Source organism: Homo sapiens, chromosome 12, assembly GCF_000001405.40.
Source record: "Homo sapiens chromosome 12, GRCh38.p14 Primary Assembly".
Lineage (NCBI taxonomy): Eukaryota > Metazoa > Chordata > Mammalia > Primates > Hominidae > Homo > Homo sapiens.
In genome coordinates this window covers 100,244,770-100,267,082 of record NC_000012.12, presented here as the reverse complement: position 1 = coordinate 100,267,082, position 22,313 = coordinate 100,244,770, and the positions used below count along the sequence as shown (strand labels likewise).

At 40.0% G+C, this 22,313-nt stretch overlaps 1 protein-coding gene across 24 annotated transcripts in view, besides 1 other annotated feature; it reads left to right on the top strand.

The window, feature by feature from the left end:
* Positions 1 to 22,313, top strand: part of DEPDC4 (DEP domain containing 4) — a 50,338-nt gene that overhangs the window by 14,890 nt on the left and 13,135 nt on the right. For 4 of the 24 annotated variants that reach the window (XR_944493.4, XM_017018779.3, NM_001387201.1 and 1 more), the window contains exons 1-9: positions 4 to 163; positions 3,190 to 3,586; positions 4,674 to 4,819; positions 5,315 to 5,353; positions 10,857 to 11,034; positions 13,368 to 13,594; positions 14,547 to 14,689; positions 14,782 to 14,907; positions 18,105 to 18,183. Coding sequence is in view for 19 of the 24 variants with exons in the window: in XM_017018779.3 (XP_016874268.3) it covers positions 7 to 163; positions 3,190 to 3,586; positions 4,674 to 4,819; positions 5,315 to 5,353; positions 10,857 to 11,034; positions 13,368 to 13,594; positions 14,547 to 14,689; positions 14,782 to 14,907; positions 18,105 to 18,183 (1,492 nt within the window). In the remaining 5 variants the exon portion in view is untranslated. The other 20 variants (NM_001387206.1, NM_001387205.1, NM_001387207.1 and 17 more) reach the window with 14 other exon arrangements.
* Positions 82 to 161: an enhancer, noted in NCBI's record as "active region_6856". NCBI's record gives its function as "activates an Ori minimal core promoter by ATAC-STARR-seq in GM12878 lymphoblastoid cells {active_cell/tissue: GM12878}" and the evidence as "EXISTENCE:reporter gene assay evidence [ECO:0000049][PMID:35858748]".

Genomic DNA, 22,313 nt, shown 5'->3' with positions numbered 1-22,313 from the left:
GGGGCTATGGTGCCAGGGGAGGAGCCAGCGCGCGAGCTTATGGCGGTTCTTTTGACTCCGAGGTTCCGTAGACTTGTCAGTCAGAACGAGCTTCCGGGCCCAGGGCTGAACGGGCCAAGTTCCAGGAACCGTAGAGATGGCTTCTGCCGGAAAAGGAGGACAGGTAGCCCTGTATATCCTAGCCAAATGTGCAGTGAAGGTGGAGGGGGCAGCTGAAGGGAGCAGGCGGCTGGGACTCTGCTCCTCATTGGTCCAGGGCCCCGCCCATTTCCTAGCCCCGCCCCCTTCCTGCCCTACCAGGCACTGGACTGGGGGACCCAGGACTGAGGCTTTTTAGGGGTTACTGTGGTGAAGTGCCCTTGGAGCGTGCAGGAAAGCGTTTTTTCTCAAACTTTAATATACATACGAATCCCTAGGATCTTGTGAAAGTGCAAATTCTGATTGAGGAGTAGGGTCTGATAATCTGCGTTTCTAATACATGTCCAGATGGCACCAATGCTGCTGGTCCCTAGGCTACACTTACAGCAACAAGGGGTTAATGTACTAGAGGGCAAATTCCTTGAGCTAGAGGAGTTATTTCTTTAATCTAGCCTACTTGTTTAATGAAGGTTAGAGAGGTAGACTGTCTATGGAAAACAGGCTGTACCGCTGTATTTTCCACCTACCCCGTCGAGTACCCTCCTGCCCACCTCCGCCCATCACTTTCTGGCCTCCCCTCCTCAGTCTCCGCTCTGCCCACAATGTCTGGGGATAAGATTTCTTGAGTGATTAGACGGGTAACTTCTGTTACAGAAGGAATTTGAGGGTGGTGGATTTTTATTTCTGTCATTTTATCGTAAACATATGTATAGTTGGGCATACTTTTGCGGTTATGCATAGTTGGAGAAGAGAGCTTAAGTTCTTGGATTCTACCCACTTCCCCCTGCAAATCTAGAAAAAACATTCTAGAAGTTCTAAGTTATTCCCTTATCATTCTTTAATTTTTTTAATTAATTTTAATTAAATTTAATTTTAATTAAAATTTTACTGGGGTACGGAAGAATGAAGAATGACTGCGAACTATAGGTTTCTTTGTGGAATGATGCAATGGTCTGAAATTAGATAATAGTGATGGCTGCACAACTTTGTGAATGTACTAGAAACACTGAATTGTACACTTTAAAAGGGTACATCCTCTTTCATCAGCCACCATTACAATCCTTCTTCCCCAAGGTTACTCGTTTGAAGTTTATTCTTCCAGATCTTTCTATTTATTTACATACATTTTTACATAGGTTGGGAATTCATTTTTACCTAAGTAGGATAATAATATACAAGTTGTTCTGCTCAGCTCATTTTTAAAAAATTTTTGTTTTGGGTTTTTCTTTTTCCCTACTTAATGAGATCCTTGCACACTATAAACATAGCTCTACTTCATTCTTTCTAATGGCTGGCTACTATTCTATAGTAAGGGTATACCATAATTTATTTAACTGTTTTTTTCAGGTAATAGACTGTTTTTTTTCCCTTGCCCAGGCTGGAGTGCAATGGCGTGATCTCGGCTCACCGCAACCTCCACCTCCTGGTTCTAGCAATTCTCCTGCCTCAGCTTCCCAAGTAGCTGGGATTACAGGCGTGCGACACCATGCCCAGCTAAATTTTTTTGTGTTGTATTTTTGGTAGAGATGGGGTTTCACTATGTTGGCCAGTGTGGTCTTGAACTCCTGACCTCCACCTGCCTCAGCCTCCCAAAGTGCTGGGATTACAGGCTTAAGCCACTGCGCCTGGCCAACTGTTTTTGTTTCTAATTGAGACAGGGTCTCACTCTGTTGCCCTGACTGGAGTGCAGTGGCAGGGTCACAGCTCACTGCAGCCTCGGCCTCCCTGGCTCAAGTGATCCTCCCACCTCAGCCTCCTGAGCAGCTGGGACTATAGGAGCACGCCACCATGCCCCACTAATTTTTTGTATTTTTTATAGAGTCTCCCTGTGTTGCCCAAGCTAGTCTTGAAATCCTGAGTTCATGCGATCCTTCTGCTTCAGCCTCCCAAAGTGCTGGGATTACAGGCATGAGCCACTGAACCTGGCCAGTAATAGACATTTTGATTGTTTTTAGGTTTTCATTATTTCTCAGCAATTTTTTTTTCTTTTTGCCCAGAGAAGTGGGATTTCTGTTATTTGGAGAGTAAGTTCAGCATGTGATAAGGCAATTTTTTTTCATTATGCAATATGTCCATGTAAAATAAGGCACATCTTTATCTAAACCCCTTAATCGGGAGCAACAGTGGAAGCACTTTCTAGAGCCCAATATCTCTACAATGTTTGGTAGTTTCACTTCATAATTTAGATAATTGGGTTATATTCAAGTATTCAGCTCAAGTGGGTATGTGACCCTCTTTCATTTTTCAGCAAACTTTTTTTTTTTTTGAGACAGAGTCTTGCTCTGTCACCAAGGCTGGAGTGCAGTGGCGCGATTTCAGCTCACTGCAACCTCCATCTCCTGGGTTGAAGAGATTCTCCTGCCTCAGCCTCCCGAGTAACTGGGATTACAGGCGCATGCCACCACGCTCGGCTAATTTTTGTATTTTTAGTAGAGGTGGAGTCTCGTCATGTTGGCCAGGCTGGTCTCAAACTCCTGACCTCAGGTGATCTGCCTGCCTCGGCTTCTGAAAATGCTGGGATTACAGGTATGAGCCACTGTGCCTGGCCTTAGCAAACTTTTTAAACAGCTGGTTTAAACAATTAAAAAAATTGATTATTTAGTTCTTTGCCTTGATCTCCCTAATGAAGAACTAACCATTGTTCAAAAGGGCAAAAAGAAAAAAGAAAAGGCAAAGAGTTTGGTGAAGCCACAACTCTGTAATAATCAATACTCAAGTGTATTTGCATTACTTTTAAATATGCCCTAAAATAACATTCTTGAAGATTCGGTATAACTAGTAGTTAACCATGTAATAAGGGTATATAAATTCATATAATAATGTATTTCACATCAGTAAAGCAAGTTCCCAGGTTTACTCTGTTTTTATTGGCAGACCCACATGGTGCAACTTAGTAAATATACTATAGTTTATGTAAGATGTGAGATGACACGTAAGAAGGACATTACCAGCAGATATGCCTTCAACAAGCATAAGGTTGTCAAAACTGAAAAATTTGCATATTTTTGTATAATCTAGATTTGTTAGAAATGCATATTTAATTTTTTTCAGGATGCTCTGGTCCTTTTCAAGCTACTCAGCTATGGGATGGTATTATTCACTCTCTTCAGGCCCAAGTGGAAATAAAAAGAAGGAGGCATCATTTACAGACATACAAAGACTGTTTCACTGGTTCTGATGCTGTCGATGTGGTCTTAAGTCATCTTATGCAAAACACGTGCCTAAGTAGCAATGACATCTCTTGTCTTAAAGGGGTTCATCTTTGCCAAGTTCTAATGAATCACAAAGTATTTGAACCAGTAGGAATGAAGAAGCTTTTCAAAAAAGAAAAGGAATTAGAATTTGAAGATTCCAACATTAGTCTCTACAGGTTTCTAGGCAATAAATCATCTTACGATTGTTGCAAAAGACAAAAGGATGCTGAGAATGAGTTCAATGAAACCTTGAGGTTAGTGTTACCTAAGATACTGTAATATATTTTATTTAGACCCTAGAAGAACTGTCTTTATTGAGCTAAACTCGAATGTGTACTTTTTTCAGAAGCCAATTAAAAAAAAAAATCCATGTGAAAATTAATCCACTTATGCATTTCCTCTAAAACTGGAATGATGCAATAGACTAGAATTAGATAATAGTGATGGCTGCACAACTTTGTGAATGTACTAGAAAACACTGAGTTATACACTTTAAAAGGGTGACTTTTGGCCAGGTAGGGTGGCCCACGCTGAGGCAAGACGGACAGATCACTTGAGATCAGGAGTTCGAAACCAGCCTGGCCATTATAGCAAAACCTCGTTTCTACTAAAAATACAAAAATTAGCGGGATGTGGTGGCAGGTGCCTGTATTCCTAGCTACTCAAGAGGCTGAGTGAGGCACAAGAATCGCTTGAGCTGGGGAGGTGGAGGTTGCAGTTAGCCAAGATTGTGCCACTGTACTCCAGCCAGGGCGACACAGCAAGAATCTGTCTCAAAAAAAAGTGAATTTTATGGGATGTGAATTATATCTCAGTAGTTTTTACTGTTTCCAATATAGCAGCATCTGTTGCTGTAACCAAAAATATATATTATTCCTTTTCCTTTACAACATTTTGTTTTCCTTAGAGCAAATACAGTTTTGTTTTCTGTTTTGCTTAGTTGTTGAAGACATTATCACATAAATTTTTCAGAGTTTATACCAGGAAAAACTATGTCTTCTAAGGAATGGATATGCTTTCTAATTTGAAAAATGACTTAGCCAGTGTACTAAAAGCCAAGGTTTTCTGGAAACTCAGAACAAAAATTTTCTATTCCATCATAACAACTATGTTAACCTTAGAATTAGCATATATGCTTTTCTTCTTTATTTAGAATTCTAATTTGTCCTCTTTTGGTGATAGTCTATTAAATGAATTATTTGCATCTTTTATTATAAGCTGCCTGAAATCGTTTTTGGAAATAGAGAATGTATGAATAAATTTTAATACATTAATTTAAATATATATTTGAAATTTTGGTTCTGTGTATAATGAAAAGAGCCACGTATTATTTTTTAACAGACCAGGATATGAAATGATTTCAAATCCTCTAGCACAGGAGATTGGTGAGGAAAGAATTGAGGAACTTATTCATACAATAAATGGGAATCCAGCTTTATGTCCAAATATCACAGTTCAGAAACCTTTTCTCCGGCTTTCAAAAGAAGGTAATTTGTTTTCATTATTTTTTCAGAACATGGTAAGGAAGAACTAACTTCTTTTTAACAGGTTCTTATAAGCAGTTTCAAGGTCACGGCAAAATAGAGCAGAAAGTACAGTTCCCACATACCCCTTGCTTCCACTCACACACAACCTTCCCCATTATCAACATCCTGCAACCAAGTGGTGCATTTGTGATAATCAATGAATCTACATTGATACATCATTTTCACCCAAAGCCCATAGTTTACATTAAGGCTCAGCCTTGGTGTTGTACATTCTATGGGTTTGTACAAATTTTTGATGACATATTATCTGTCATTATAGTATCATACAGAATAGTTTCAGTGCCCTAAAAATTCTCTGTGCTTTACCTACTCATTCCTCCCTTCTCTCTAACCTTAGGCAACCACTAATATTTTTACTGTTTCCAAGAACTGACGTTTTAAATGTGATTTAAGTAGTGTATTAGTGTGTTGACTCCCTCCTTCTCTTCCCTGTAGGAGTTTCCTTCTACACAGCAATTACATCAGATAAGACAGGTGAGGCAATATACATCTAATAACACTTAATTCATTTTTTACAATGACTGTGACCAGATTAACTGGAGGTGCTATAGTCTGCACTGCAAGAGAAAACATACGGACTCACCACAGTCCTTAGTATTTGTCCTGCAAGACCATCTTCTTAATGAGTGTATCCTTTGTCCATTGTGTAAACTCCTCCCAAACATCTTCCTACTCTTTCCCTTTCTCAGAACAAACTAGCTAAACTACCTGTTGCACCACTCCTCTTTACTATTTACTTCATCTACTTGTGTTTTTCTCCTTAAAATGCCACTAATGGCAGATAAAAGAGCACCATAGCCAGGGCAGTTAGGAGAGATACATACAAAATTCATTAATGGCCCTTTACTCCATTTGGTCAAACCATGACAGAAGCAAGACTAGCTATGACTTGCACACTGGAGGACTGTGATTTATCAACAATAGTTAACATTGGCATGATAAAGGAAATACAGGGTGCCCAAAGAAAGGGTGTAGAATTGAGAAGAAGAACTAAAAGAGAACTCTTTTTTTTTTTTTTTTTTTGAGACGGAGTCTCGCTCTGTTGCCCAGGCTGGAGTGCACTGTTGTGATCTTGGCTCACTCCAACCTCTGCCTCCCAGGTTCAAGTGATTCTCCTGCCTCAGCCTCCAGAGTAGCTGGGACTATAGGCGCCCGCCACCACACCCGGCTAATTTTTGTATTTTTTAGTAGACACGGGTTTCACCATGTTGGCCAGGTTGGTCTCGAACTCCTGACCTCAAGTGATCCACCCACCTTGGCCTCCCAAAGTGCTGGGATTACAGGCGTGAGCCTCCTTGGCTGGCCATTGAGACACAGTTTCACTCTTTCGCCCAGGCAGAAGTGCAGTGGTGTGATCTCAGCTCACTGTAAACTCTGCCTCCCAGGTTCAAGCAAGTCTTGTGCCTCAGCCTCCAGAGTAGTTGGAACTATAGGCGTGTGCCACCATGCCTGGCTAATTTTTTATTTATTTATTTATTTTTTGTATTATTAGTAGAGATGAGGTTTTGCCATATTGGCCAAGCTGGTCTTGAACTCCTGACCTCAAGTTATCCACCCGCCTTGGCCTCCCAAAGTGCTGGGATTATAGGTGTGAGCCACCATGCCTGGCCGTAAGAGAACTCTGATGAAGACTAATATTTAAAGGGCAAGCAGGAGAGTCCCCCAGAAGTACAGTTTTTATCTAGTACAAATGAAAAAATAACTTTTCCCATTATTTTTTCTTGAGGTCATGACGTACCTCTAGAAATTTCAAACTAAAAGTGGATATGATTTATCAGTAAAGGCCAGGGCACGGTGGCTCACGCCTGTAATCCCAGCACTTTGGGAGGCCAAGGTGGGTGGATCACTTGAGGTCAGGAGTTCAAGACCAGCCTGGCCAACATGATGAAACCCCATCTCTACTAAAAATACAAAGATTAGCCAGGTGTCGTGGTGCGTGCCTATAATCCTAGCTACTCTGGAGGCTGAGGCATGAGAATCACTTGAACCCGGGAGGCAAAGGTTGCAGTAAATGGAGATCGCGCCTTTGCACTGCAGCCTGGGCAACAAGAGCGAAACTCTGTCTCAAAAAAAAAAAATTCTATAGGTAATAATAAGAATAATTTCCACTTATTTTGGACCTTTCTCTGTGCTAAGCAATTTGTTATGCATTTTATATTTATCCATGATTTTACAGTAGCCTGTAAAGTGAAGGGTAAAACTTGCATTTTATAGTTAGGGAAACAGAATCAGAAGGATCACATTAAAAAAAAAAAAAAGACATAGGAGGGAATGAAAGCTGTCACTCTAATGTGGGTTTTTAAAAGTATTATCCTTACCCTTGTTTTATAGGCACATAACGTAACCGTTCAAATAGCTGTTCTAGTTTTGTTACAAAAAAATAGCAGTTCCCCACCCTTTCATTCCCTCCTCCCCAGACAGGCCATTTACAACTCGTATCTCTAAATAGCATGCTTATATTGTTACTTTATGATTTTTCAGTTTTAGGCACATCCATTAATTTTCTAAAAGGGAAAATGGGGATTTGTGTCTCTTTCCCTCCCTGTATCTATCTTACGAATACTTCCCTATGCCCCCATCTTTTAATATAATTAGATTGCTTTGATTAGAGCAATACAGCATGTTTACATTATTTTGTAGAAAAGAGCTATTCAGAGTTGAGGTATGTAATAAACCATCTGTTGTTATAACTGAAAATATATATTATTCCTTTTCCTTTACGACGTTTTGTTTTCCTTAGACCAAATACATTTTTGTTTTCTGTTTTGCTTGGTTTTTTACATTCATACACATTTTCACCTACAAACACTCCAACACTTATCCAAATCACCTGCTGGCATGCTCAGGTGTATCAGGTATTTTTATCAATTTCATCTTCTTGGGGAAATCCCCTTCATAAGGTTTCTCATGTCTCAATAACGGACTGGCTGCCCTCTATACTTGGTGCATGGTTGTCATCCTGGTGTCTGCCTTTACCATGATCATGGGGATTACCTTTGCCTGTTATATTGTAGATCTCCTATGTCCTGCCTTCTGTGCCTTTTCTTGTTTACTGCTGATTTTAGTGGCACACATTTTCTAGTAGTTTCCTGACAAAGGGTACATGGGATATATATATATATTTTTTTTTTTTGAGACAGATTTTTGCCCTGTCGCCCAGGCTGGAGTGCAGTGGTGCGATCTCGGCTCACTGCAATCTCTACCTCCTGGATTCAAGTGATTCTTGTGCCTCAGCCTCCCAAGTAGCTGGGATTACAGGCACACACCATGACACACAGCTAATTTTTATGTTTTTAGTAGAGTCACAGTTTCACCATGTTGGTCAGGCTGGTCTCGAACTTTTGGCCTCGAGCAATCTGACCACTGCAACCTCCCAAAGTGCTGAGATTACAGACGTGAACCACCGCGCCTGGCCTGAGATAATTTTTTTGTTTGTATTTCTGAAATTTTCTGTATTCTAGCCTCTTATTTGATTGACAGAATTCTAGGTGGAAATAATTTCTCAAATACTTTTAAAGGTATTTCCCCATTGCCTTCTAGCTTCTTGTGTTGGTGTTGCAAAGCCTTGGCTGTGATATGAAGGAAGGAAAAAAGACTAAAGCCATTCTGATTAATGACACTTTGTATCTGATTTGTTCCCCATCTCCACCCCAAAACTTAAGAGTCTTCTCTTTGTCCCACACTTTCTGAAATTCTAAAGTAATATACTTTAAGGTAAATCTATTTTTACTTACTGGGCTGTTGCAATCTAGAAGTTTTTTTTATTTCATTGGTGATTTTCCCCATTTCTCCCTAACTCTACCTTCTCTGTTCTAATTCCGATCTCTTATTCAGATATTGGACCTTCTTAACTAGTCCTCTAATTTGTATATATTTTTCTCTCTTATTGTTCATGTTTTTGGGATTTTTTTGTTTTACCTACTAGGAAGTATCTTCAAATGTATCCTCCAGTTTTCTTATTGATACCTAAAAACACTTTTCCTTTTTTTCTTCTTTTTTTACTTTTTCCTCAAATCACTTTCAAGTTCTCAGAATTTCCTTTCTTGTGGCATCCTGTTTTTGTTTTATTGTTGCTTGTTTTGGTTACTTTTATATCCCTGGCACTTAGAACAGGAGTTTGAGACAGCAGTGAGCTATGATCATGTTATGGCACTCCAGCCTGGATGACAGAGCAAGACCCTATCTATCTATCTATCTATCTATCTATCTATCTATCTATCTATCTATCAATACATTTTAGAATTTCACATGAAATCTCCCGTTTTTATACATTAATTTTCTTCAAAGTACTTTATAACCAAACAGATCATGGCTGTGGGCCAAATTTAGTCCACAGGCCACTGGCTTGGGAGCTCTGCAAGAAACTTACTATAACTGTTGCTTTTGTAGTTTTGTTAAATAAAAGGAAAACCAGGCTGGTCCAAATGCAATGGTGTTTACAACTAATTGATAACAACCAGTTAACAGATTTCTTTGTTCCTTCTCCACTTCCACTGCTTCACTTGACTAGCCTTAAAAAACAAAAAATAGGTTGGGCACAGTGGCTCACATCTGTAATCTCAGCACTTTGGGAGGCCAAGGCAGGCAGATGACCTGAGGTTGGAAGTTCAAGACCAGCCAGACCAACATGGAGAAACCCCGTCTCTACTAAAAATACAAAATTAGCTGGGCGTGGTGGCGCATGCCTGTAATCCCAGCTACTCGGTAGGCTGAGGCAGGTGAACCTCCTGAACCTGGGAGGCAGAGGCTGTGGTGTGCCATTGCACTCCAGCCTGGGCAACAAGAACAAAACTCCATCTCAAAAAATAAATAAATAAATAAAAACAGGCTGGGCACAGTGGCTCACGCCTGTAATCCCAGCACTTTGGGAGGCCAAGGCGGGTGGATCACTTGAGGTCAGAAGTTTGAGACCAGCCTGGCCAACATGGTGAAACCCTGTCTCTACTAAAAATACAAAAATTAGTCTGGCAGGGTGGTGCATGCCTGTAGTCCCAGCTACTCTGGAGGCTAAGGCAGGAGAATCACTTCAGCGGGGAGATGGAAGTTGCAGTGAGCCGAGATTGCACCATTGCACTCCAGCCTGGGCAGAGTGACACTCTGTCTCAAAAAGTAAGTAAATAAATAAAAATAAAAATAAAGGAAAAACAAAGTATTATGATGATGGTTAGGGTGATGAAAAACTTAACAGGAACTTAACAGGAATGACTGGAAATCCAAGACAAAATTAGCCTAATACTGTATTTTAGTTTAAAAACAATGAACTGGCCTGGCGCAGTGACTCACGCCTGTAATCCCAGCACTTTGGGAGGCCGAGGCGGGCGGATCACTAGGTCAGGAGATCGAGACCATCCTAGCTAACACGGTGAAACCCCGTCTCTACTAAAAACACGAAAAATTAGCCGGGCATGGTGGTGGGCGCCTGTAGTCCCAGCTACTCAGGAGGCTGAGGCAGGAGAATGGCGTGAACCTGGGAGGCGGAGCTTGCAGTGAGCTGAGATCTCACCACTACACTCGAGCCTGGGCAACAAAGCGAGACTCCATCTCAAAAAAAAAAAAAACAAAAAACACAAAACAAACAAACAAAAAACAATGAACTACAATTATCTATGTTGCTATAAATAGAAAGATAAATAATTAGTAATCTCATTCTCTCAGATGTGTAATATAAGTTATAAGCATGACTAGTAGTTTTTTATATTTAGAATTAATGTTGGCCTTAAGAGCTAGATAATATATCTTTATAATCAGCATAACAGAAAATAAAATTAATATGGCTCATAACTCTGATGTTTAAGATCAATCTTGAAAAATTGTAATATAACAAATGTAAATTATCTAAGCATTAAATTAACCCATTATATTACTACTGAACTAGTTTTACTTTTGTATTATTTAGAAATAGAACGATTTATAATATTGGTTGAATGTGTATGTTTTATTTACCAATCTTGATCATTGCATTACTTTCCTTTTCAAGATGTTTGGAAAGAACAAACATTATTATGTCTTCTTCAATTGATTCACCTTCCATTCTTGGACAATATTTTGGAGCCTCCAGTTAAAACACAAAATCTTCAACTAAACAAAGAGGAAGATCTTGTTATCACTAACACTTGCCTAGACAGAGAACTTATTCCAAGCTTATGTCTACCTGAGTAAGTGACCATTTTTATTGTCAAATAATTTGTAAACAGTTTTTTTCACATATTTGCCCTTAGTATTTTAGGATGTGAGAAAATATTCATGTTATAAGCTTATACTATCTCTCTTTTATAAATTATCATTATGAATCCTCATTTGATCTAATAAAGCCATTGGTCATGACCTATAAGATCACTGGAAATCAGAGTGGTTTGGTTCGTACGAATTCATTTGTATGTCAATCATCTTCTCCCCGCATCATCCAAAATTCTGTCATTTCCATTTTATTACCCTAAATAATGCAACCATCCCAGTTTCTACCAGCTTATTTATCCCTGCCCTAAAAGAAACCGTAGTCTAGAAGGGGGAGACATACATGAGAGAAAAAATTATAGTCTGAAAGATAAGCCCTATCATAAAATCGGCCTAATTTGTAGATAAGAGATTAAAGGAACCCTGAATGAGGCTCCTTTCCCTTTTACTCCCAACGCCAAGCTATTTCTCACTTCTGAATAAAGCAGCTGCTGGAAACTATAGGCATTAGACCTTGAGTACTGTTGGGATTCCAGCAGGGAGAACTGATATAGTGCTTCCTCCCATGTGAGCCAAACAAGAAAAGAAGATGAGACACCAAGGCTGAGGAACAGAAAACTTCAGATCTTGTGAAGAGGTTAGTGATCAGAGACCTCTGGACCCTCTTAGTCAACTATGGTCCTGTTTGTACATGACAGATTTCTCTTATTCGCAGTAGGCCAAGAAAGACCCAAACAAAGGGCTGAGTCTTCCTGCCCTTGAGTCAGGGATAGTATAGGGACACCAGAAAAGAAACAGGATTTCTGCAGGTGCCGCTGCAGGAAACTCACAGCAGCCAGTCTGCCTTAAAAAGCTTCCAGGCAAAAAGGGCAGATTAGCTGTAAGAGAAAAGCAATCAAACTGTCATTAGTCTTTTCATCTGCAATACTAGGATCTAGAAGACAATGAATCACACATATTAGGCAAGATGTACTGTTCATCTGTCAGGAGAAAAAAAGAGAAAGGAGGAAAGAAGGGCCAAAGGGCCTGTAATCCCAGCAACTTGGGAGGCTAAGCTGAGAAGATTGCTTGAGGCCAGGAATTCAAGACCAGCATGGGCAACATAGTGAGACCCTGTCTCTCTGAAAAAAAAATTTTTAAATTAGCTAGGCAAGACAGCACATGTCTATAGTCCCAGCTGCTCAAGAAGCTGAGGTGAAAGGATCACTTGAGCCCAGGAGTTGGAAGTTAGAGTGAGCTATGACTATGTCACTGCACTCTAGCTAGGTGACATAGCAAGACCCTCTGTCATATTTAAAAAAGAAGAAAGAGAGGGAAGGAGGGAGGGAGAAAGAAAGGAAGGAAAGGAGAGAGGGAGGTAGAGAGGAAGGAAAGAAAGATACTTGAGGATTTTGAAGAATTCAGGCCAGGCACAGGGGCCCACACCTATAATCCCAGCACTTTGGAAGCCCAAGGCAGATGGATCGCTTGAGTCCAGAAGTTTGAGACCAGCCTGAGCAACCATAGTAAAACCCCGTCTCTATGCAAAATACAAAAATTAGCCTGGCGTGATGGTGCACGCCTATAGTCCTGGCTACTCGGGAGACTGAAATGAGAGGATTGCTTGAGCCCAGGAGGCAGATGTTGCAGTAAGCCAAGATCATGCCAGTGTACTCCAGCCTGGGCAACAGAGTAAGATGCTGCCTCAAAAAAAAAAAAAAAAAAAAAAAAGTCAAAAAAAAGGGACATACCATTAAGGGAAATTACAGTAAATACTAACCTATCTTGGCAAAACCTGGGGGTTGGGAGGGCAGCAGATATGGAAAAGGGAGAAATGAAGGCCTTCCAAAGGAGTCACCGGAGGGCAGGGGAGTGACAGGACCCTAAATTTCTTATCTTATTGGGGTGGGCAAATAAGAAAGGGAAAACAATGTGTGGTGGGGTAAACAGTTCATCTGGGTTGGGGAAATATTTGGTATCTTATTTTCAAATAATAATAGAACCATACGCAACTCATCAGAGCAGGAAAAGGGAGGGGAACTACTAACAAAATTAGATATAAATAATAAAGGGTTCATTAAAAATTATTTTAACTTCTTGAAAATAAAAGTCCATAAAGGTGTGGTGGTATTCAGTAAGGAATACAGCCATTCCCTCTCATACAGTCCTTCACTCATCCAGCAAAATGTATTGAAATGCTTCTCCCAAAAAATAATTTCTTCTTTAGATTTATCTAGCTTAAATAAGCCAGATTTTTTCATGTTTTATCAAATAGTGCTTTAGTTAAATGGAAATGTTAACCATTGCTTTATTTTGGTTTGCATTTTCCCTCTAGAATCGATAACTGGCTTAATGCAGCAATTGAATGCTTGGAGTATTTCCCTGACCAGTTAATAGTTACAGTTAGTCAGCAGTTAATGCAAAACAGAAATGAAGAGACAAGATTGAACAGTCAGAAGAAGATACTCTTTGATGTCATAGCAAAATACTATGCTCAAGAGAGAGATTGCCTATTAACTGATGAGTATTTTGATATTCATTCAGGAATTATTGAACTTTTAGGTAAGATAGGATGTTTATATTTTAATTTTTGGTGTAATAAAACATTTTAAAATATACAAGTTGAAATAGAAAATTGTGTATACTATATGAGTATTACATTTTAATATTTTTCTTCTATGATGTCAAGGTACTTCAAGAAGTCTTGTTTTACTTCACTACTATTGCCTACCTTGTAAATTATATTATCAAATGTAACTAATATAGTATAGTGCATAAATCTAAGGCAGTACATCACAGGGACATCGCAGGGACATTCTAAGAAACATGATATAGCCAGGAGCGATGGCTCACACCTGTAATCCCAGCACTTTGGGAGGCCAAGGCGGGTGAGTCACCTGAGGTCAGGAGTTCTAGACCAGCCTGGCCAACATGGTGAAACCCTGTCTCTACTAAAAATACCAAAAATTAGCCAGGTGTAGTGGCGGGCGCCTGTAGTCCCAGCTACTCGGGAGGCTGAGGCAGGAGAATGGTGTGGACTCGGGAGGCGGAGCTTGTAGTGAGCCGAGATCGCGCCACTGCGCACCAGCCTGGGCGACAGAGTGAGACTGTCTCAAAATAAAAAGAAAGAAACATATGTTATAGTACAAGGATTTAAGAACCGAGGTACCTAGAAATACTAACTTCTGAGTTATTAATTTGATGACCTTTTAGCAAAATGAAAATTGAGTGACATAATATGTCATTTTTTAGCTGTGTAAGTGGCCATATAATTTCATGTTAAAAACAAAATACTGTTTGATAATGCTGGATATAGCTACATCGCATATTACATAGAATTATAAAGATAATTTCCTGTGTGTTTGAAATATTCCATAATAAAAAATTTTAATTGTAGAAAAGAACCTGCAAACTAATACAACATTGTAGCATTTTAATTGACTACTAAGTAAATACTTACTATACTCTCCATTTTTCATCTTATGCTTTGTTTTCTTTGTAACCTATATAACAGAAAATGAGAAAAGAGCAGAAGCACTTGAAGCAACACAACTATATCTAAGATTGCTGTTGCTGAACATTAGAGAAGAATTACGACGGCTACTTACTTTTATGGCAATGGCATCAGAGCCCAATGCCTACAAGTTGCAAAAACAGGTGAAAAATTTTGCAATAAGTTTTGCCATTTTTTTTTGCTATTTTTTTCCTCTAAAAACCATTTATGCTAATGTTAATCTTTCTGTTTACAGTATGATAATAAAACAGTGGTCCTGAAAACTCTTGCCAAATCAGTTTTGCAAGCCAAATCATTATTAAAAGTGCGGGCAGAACAACTGGTCTGGTTTCCACTGGAGTACCACTCTGAGCTCTTCAAGGTATCTCTGGCATTTTGCCTGGGCACATTTATTACTAAGCTACTTGTGTCAAGCAGAAAAGCAAATCATTCACTTAGTAAATAATTTACTAAGTACCTATAATGTGCAAAGTTTGAAGAAATGCTGACTCCCCACACCCACAAAAGAGAAGAAAGCAGACTTAAAACCGTTTTGTTGGCTGGGTACAGTGGCTCATACTTGTAATCCCAGCACTTTGGGAGACTGAGGCATGTGGATCACTAGAGCCTAGGAGTTTGAGACCAGCCTGGGCAACATAGCAAAACCCCATCTATACAGAAAGATAACAGGCCGGGCACAGTGGCTCATGCCTGTAATCCCAGCACTTTAGGAGGCCCAGGTGGGTGGACTCACCTGAGGTCAGGAGTTCAAGACCAGCCTGGCCAACATGGCAAAACCCCGTCTCTACTAAAAATACAAAAATTAGCCAGGTGTGGTGGCGCGTGCCTGTAATCCCAGCTACTCAGGAGGCTGAGGCAGGAGAATCGCTTGAACCTGGGAGGCGGAGGTTGCAATGAACCAAGACTGCGCCACTGCACCCCAGCCTGGGCAACAGAGCAAGATTCCGCCTCAAAAAAAAAAAAATGCCAGGGGTGGTGGCACACACCTGTGGTCCCAGCTACTGGGGAGGCTGAGGTGGGAGGGTCAGTTGAGCCCATGAGATTGAGGCTGCAGTAAGCCATTGCACCAGCCTGGGTGACAGAGTGAGACCCTGTCTCAAAACAAAACACTTAGGAGTAGCAGTAGCATTAGTAAAACATGGTCATATTCTTATTTTGAAACGTTTTTGAAATAGTTTTTTTTTAGCCTCACTATTATATTTTAGTACCAGACAATAGTATGAATACTTTCAATGGTGTTATTTCTCCAAAGCCTCTATAAAGAATTCCCTTTCTTCTGTTTTCTGGCTTAAAAATGTGTCTAGCTGGGCACAGTGATACATGCCTTTAACCCCAGCTACTCTGGAGGCTGGGGTGGGATGATTTGAGCCCAGGAGTTTGCAACTAGCCTGGGCAACATTGCAAGACCCCATTTTATTTTTAAAAAAATTTTTGTCTCATGTCATAATGCAACATATTGATCCAAATTTTGTAACAGTTCTGTGACCTTAACTGAACTTTTTTTTCCATTATTTACAAGAAAAAGGTGGTACTAAGTATATACAATAGAGGCAGTCCCATTAACATTAAACATTAAAAAATGTTTCATTCATGAATTTTGAATGAAACATATTTTAAAAGGTCATTTGTAAGTCAGTTGTTAGGTACTCTACACCTAGTTTTTCATCCAAATAAATAAATAATAGATGGTAGTAAGGGCCCAGGTTATGTAAATGTTTTATGCTACAGTCACTAAAGTAAAATTCTCATATGTAGTTTTTCTCATATGTAGTTTACCTGCTAAAATGGGTCCCAGATTTCAACTAGCAATTTAGAAAGAACACTTCTCTCCTCTCTCCTCTTCTGTACTACTCAGCTTCTCTCTGCTTTCCTCTTTCTCACTCTACCCCCTCCTCTACATAAATGAATCTGCCTCTTTCCTACACATGGTACAGACATTAGGAAGGATTTTTTTTCATCTTTCTACCTCCCCCTTCATGTTCCAACTAGCAGTGTCATAAGGAAACATACTGGTTCAGGCCAGGTGCAGTGGCTCATGCCTGTAATCCCAGCATTTTGGAAGGCCAAGGCAGGTGGATCACTGGAAGTCAGGAGTTCGAGACCAGCCTGGCCAACATGGTGAAACCCAGTCTCTACTAAAAATACAAAAAAAAATTAGCCAGGCATGGTGGTGGACACCTGTAATCCAAGCTACTTGGGAGGCAGAGGCAGGAGAATCACTTGAACCCGGGAGGCGGAGGCTGCAGTGAGCCAAGATCGCACCGCTGCACTCCAGCCTGGGTAACAGCACAAGACTCCATCTAAAAAAACAGAAACATACTGGTTCAAATTTTGTACCAGGCCACAAATGGAGAAAAGGAACTTGACATGGGCTGGAGGAAGTGGGGATATGGAAATCAGGAAGCAGGGAGAAGGGCCCTGATAGTTGGTTTCTAGAGATTAGAGGCTGATACATTTCAGGGAGGCTGAGGTGGGGATATTTATGATAGGGGCTCTCGAACATGCCACGCTTTTTCCTGTTACGGGGCTGTCCCTGTGCTGTCTACCTTTGGCCACTGCTTTCACTCTGGCCTCTTTCTCTGCTTTGTTTTCATAGTGGCACTTATCACTACCTGAGATTATATGTATTATGTATTTGCCTATTTTTTTGTTGTTGTTAAATTGTCTTTCTCTCCTATGAGAATGTAACTTCCCATAAATTCGGGAACTTGATCTACTCATTCATCACCTGTAACAGTACCTGGCACATAACGTTAAATCACTCACTCAGTTTTTATAGAATGACAGAATGAAGTAAAGGGGGCAGCATCATGGCTGGAAAGTGGCAGGACAAGTGGAAGCTAATGAAAAGGTAGCCTGCGAGCCAGGATGAAGGAGCTATCTAGATGTGAGCTTTGGGATTGGTAGGGCTAGGGCATGCCCTCTGTAACAGTATTATTAGTCAATGGATTATTTCTCCAGATACATATAGTAGTCTGGGATTACCTTTGGTATAACCAAATTAGGAAAGGAATGTATACCTATTTTGTTTGGGGGTTTTTGTTGTTATTATTAGAGATGGGATCTCGCTGTGTTGCCCAGACTGGTCTTGAACTTCTGGACTCAAGCGATCTTCCCACTTCACCCTCCCAAAGTACTGGGATTACAGGTGTGAGCCACCACGCCTGGCCTATTTGCCTATTTTAGGAGAATAATTTTAGTGTATTTTAGAGCTACTATTTACATATGGACTGTGTAATTACAATGTAATGTTATTTAAATAAATGCTGTAAATTACAAATAATTTTTATTGTTATAGGAGAACATTTCACTAATGATGGGTTAACCTAATTTTAAATACAGTACACACATGAAGGCAGAAAATAAGATTTTAAGAGTGCTAAAAAAATTTCAAGAATTTATGATTCAGAGGCCTTCTACCACCCACCCTTTCCACTCATCTACAATCCTCTCCCTCTACTCATTGGTCAAAAATATTGAGATGTTTTTCTTTCTATGTTGAAATGCTGGCTAGAAAAAAATCATATTAAATATTTTGAAAATACCTGTTTTGTGTAGACACCAGTTACTTTATTGGATCTGGTTAGTAAGAAACTTAAGAAGCTTCTACATGGAGAAGATGCAGATGCCATATCAGGTATGGATTCCAGCTTGTTCCTCCTTTATCATTAAGTGACTGTTGTTGCCAAATGAGTTGGGAAGGCATCAAAGATGAGTATGTAATAAATATATGTAAAATGTTGTAAAAAGTGGTTACAGGAAGGTTATTTTTTAGTATCTCCAGGGCAAGTTCTTCTCTAGTTCTTTTTTGAAACCCTTTATTTACCTTTTCTACTAAGAAGGCAGGAACCTTCTGTCTCTCACTGCTGCTCCCAATTCTCACCTCCCCTTCAATTATCACCCACATGCCTGCTTCTTTGCTCCTGTGCTCTCTGTTGTATCTTCTTCTGACTCTCTCAGATTCTTTTTCTTGTTTTTCATCCTCTCTCCCTTGCCTGCTTCTTTTTTAGGGGAAGGATCAAATTTTATAGAGGAGTAGCCTGGCCCCCAGTTGAATAGACTCCATGATTCTTTTCATTCAGTGTCTTTAGGCTATTGATCTTATGTTTTAACTTATAATTGTTTAAAACTATAATGTATTTTTAATCCAAGTTTACTAAGATTGTCATGCAGGAAACAAAATAGCCTAATAGGTATATCTGTGAGTGCCAGCACCAAATTGTCTGGGCAAGTCATTTAACCCCTTTTTGCCTCAGTTTCCTCAACTACGAAATGGGAATGATAATATCTATTTCTTTGTGCAGTTAGATATTTAATATTTATGCTATTAATAGGATATTAGATATTCTATTAATATATAATGCTGGTTGTAATTAATTATGATTAATATATCTGAATATGACATTAGCTGACACATATACTGAGCCCTACTATGTGTCAGAAACTGTGTCGAAGATTAACATAGACTTATGAAATTATTTAATCTTCACAATAATCTGTGTAGGCATATTAATATTATTATTATTTGATTTTATAGGGGAGGTAGCTGAAGCTTAGAGAGGTTGCGTAACTTGGTGAACTAGAAAGATCGGTGATTTTTTTTCTTTAAAAAGATGTTTCAAGGGTTGTGGCAGGGCAAAAATCATCCAAAGGCATTATTAATTGTTGGAAAGAACATTTACAGAGGAGGGCATAAGTGTACTTGCTTGAATTGCTTGGAATTTCTCAGCTAATAGATGCTATTTTCTCTCATTCTCTTCTTTGAATACGGAGTATATGGCAACAAGTATGTTGCCACATGCATCCTATTTGGTGTAATTAAACAATGATACTAATGAAGTATTCTGAAACTAGTACTTAGAATCTTTTGGATTAATTTAATCTTATCTGGCTAATTTCAAAGCAAACATTAAATGGCTGCCGTTACTGCATTATCTTTTCACATTCAACTTTTCATTATTTTTGACTTTTGAGGAAAATAGAAGGATTGTCAGCATTTTACTCTTTATTTCTATTCAACAATATATGCTAGGCTGGGTGCGGTGGCTCATGCCTGTAATCCCAGCACTTTGAGAGGCCAAGGCGGGCAGATCACCTGAGGTTATGACTTCGAGACCAGCCTGGCCAATGTGGTAAAACTCCATCTCTACTAAAAATACCAAAAGTAGCCAGGTGTGGTGGTGCATGCCTGTAATCCAAGCTACTTGGGAGGCTGAGGCAGAATCACTTGAACCCAGGAGGCGGAGGTTGCAGTGAGCCAAGATCATGCCACTGCACTCCAGCCTGGGTGACAGAGCACGACTCTGTCTCAAAAAAAAAAAAAAAAAAAAAAAAACACTAAGGGGAGATTATAAATATAAGTGTTTTGCACAATGCTATGTGCTACAAGCACTTGGAAAGTAAAGAGTTTTCTGATAATATTTTTCCTTAAATAGCTTACCTATTTTATCTCTTCTTGAAACTTATCTCTTACTCAGTAAAACTGTCAGAGTATATCAGTAAACAACTTTAAATTTTTAAATTGCCTCCATGCTTTGTGTTGTATGCTTTTTTCTCTGTAACTTACTTGAAATTTATTTTCTTTGCTTTTCTTTTTTTTTGAGACAGAGTCTCACTCTGTCGCCCAGGCTGGAGTGCAATGGCGCATCTCGGCTCACTGCAACCTCCGCCTCCTGGGTTCAAGTGATTCTCCTGCCTCAGCCTCCCAAGTAGCTGGGAATACAGGCAAGCACCACCACGCCCAGCTAATTTTTATATTTTTAGGTAGAGACAGGGTTTCCTCATGTTGGCCAGGCTGGTCTCGAACTCCTGACCTCAAGTGATCCGCCCGCCTTGGCCTTCCAAAGTGCTGGGATTACAGGCATGAGCCACTGTGCCTGGCCTGATTACTTGAAATTCATGAGTATTGATTTAAAATGCTTCTGACAGCCAGGATTTGTCTGTCCATCTATTCATTCAGTTATTCACTTAACATTTTTTGAATCTCTATAGTTGTGCCAGAACTTGTATAAGCACCACAAAATGCAAAGAGGTATAAGATAATGCCCCTGCTTGCAATAAGCTCACATTCTAACATTCAAAATGACTAGCACATAGTAGATGTTCAATAAACATTTGTTGACTAAATTCAGTGAAAGAGTTGATGAATGAGAGACAGCCATATCAATGAATCATAAAAATCTGACAGGGATATGTTCAAGCCAGAGGAGATTATGGAAGCTTGGAGGAGGATTACCTGACCACCTAGTCTGAGGGAATCAAAGCTTGTAGAAGAGATAACGCATAATAGGAGTCTTAAAGAATAGGAGCTTAAAGAATTAGAACAGTGTGAGCAAAAATAGGTAAGCACTAGAAACAGCAGTCAGGCATAAGGCAAAACAAAATGAAACAAAAATGACAAAAAAAAAAAAAAACCCAGGCGTAGTGGCATATGCCTGTGGTCCTAGCTGCTTGGGAGGCAGATGTGGGAGGATTGCTTGAGCTCAGTAGGTCAAGGCTGCAGTGAGCCTTGATCATGCCACTGAACTCAGTTTGGGTGACAGAGTGAGATTCTGTCTCAGAAAACCAAAAAAATTTAAAAATAAAAATAAAATAAAATAAGAAACTGCTGCCAAGGAGATAGCAGAAATTGAAACTAGAGAGATTGATAGGTATCATCTTATGAAGGGCCATATTTAGCTACCAAGTCTCTAGGCAGTTGGAAAGGCATTAAAAATTATTTTTAAGGAAGTGATACGACCAGATTTGTATTTTAGATAAAGAGTGCTGGCAGCAGTGTAGAGAATGGATTGACCTGGAGGACTGGAAGCAATCCTGGTTGGGAGACTACTATGACAACACAGTGAGAAATTATGTAGGCCTGTACAATGCACAGGCATGAGGGATGAAGAGGAAGGAACAGTTTGAGAAATATTTAGGAGGTAAAATTGGCAACAATTGATTTCACTTGTGGGTTACGAAGAAAAGTGACTCGGCGGGATGCAGTGGCTCATGCCTGTAATCCCAGCACTGGGAGGCCGCAGCAGGCAGATCACTTGAGGTCAGGAGTTTGAGACCAGCCTAGGCAATATGGTGAAACCCTGTCTCTACTAAAAATACAAAGATTAGCCCAGCATGGTGGTGGGTGCCTGTAATCCCAGCTAGTTGGGAGGCTGAGGCATGAGAATTGCTTGAACCCGGGAGGTGGGGGTTGCATTGAGCCGAGATCTCGCCACTACGCTCCAGCCTGGGGGACAGAGCGAGACCCTGTCTCCAAAAACAGAAAAGTGACTCAAATATGAATCCCAGGTTTCCAGGTGGGGTGACTACCACCGTATTTAGGGGAATGATGGAGTCTGTTTGGGGCTTTTGATTTAAAATAAGGATGGGGCCAGGTGTGGTGGCTCACACCTGTAATCCCAGCATTTTGGGAGGCCAAGGCAGGCGGATCACAAGGTCAGGAGTTTGAGACCAGCCTGGCCAACATAGTGAAACCCCATCTCTACTAAAAATACAAAAATTAGCTGGGGATGGTGGTGCACACCTGTAGTCCCAGCTAGTCAGGAGGCTGAGGCAGGACACTCGCTTGAACCCGGGAGGCAGAGGTTGTGGTGAGCTGAGATTGCGCCACTGCACTCCAGTCTGGGCAACAGAGTGAGACTCCCTCTCAAAAAATAAATAAAATAAATAAATAAATAAAATAAGCATGGGACGTTGTGGTTGAGATTTTCAGCAGGGCAACTAGATGTACAATTTGGAAGTTCAGAGGAGAGAGAGGAGCTAAAAATA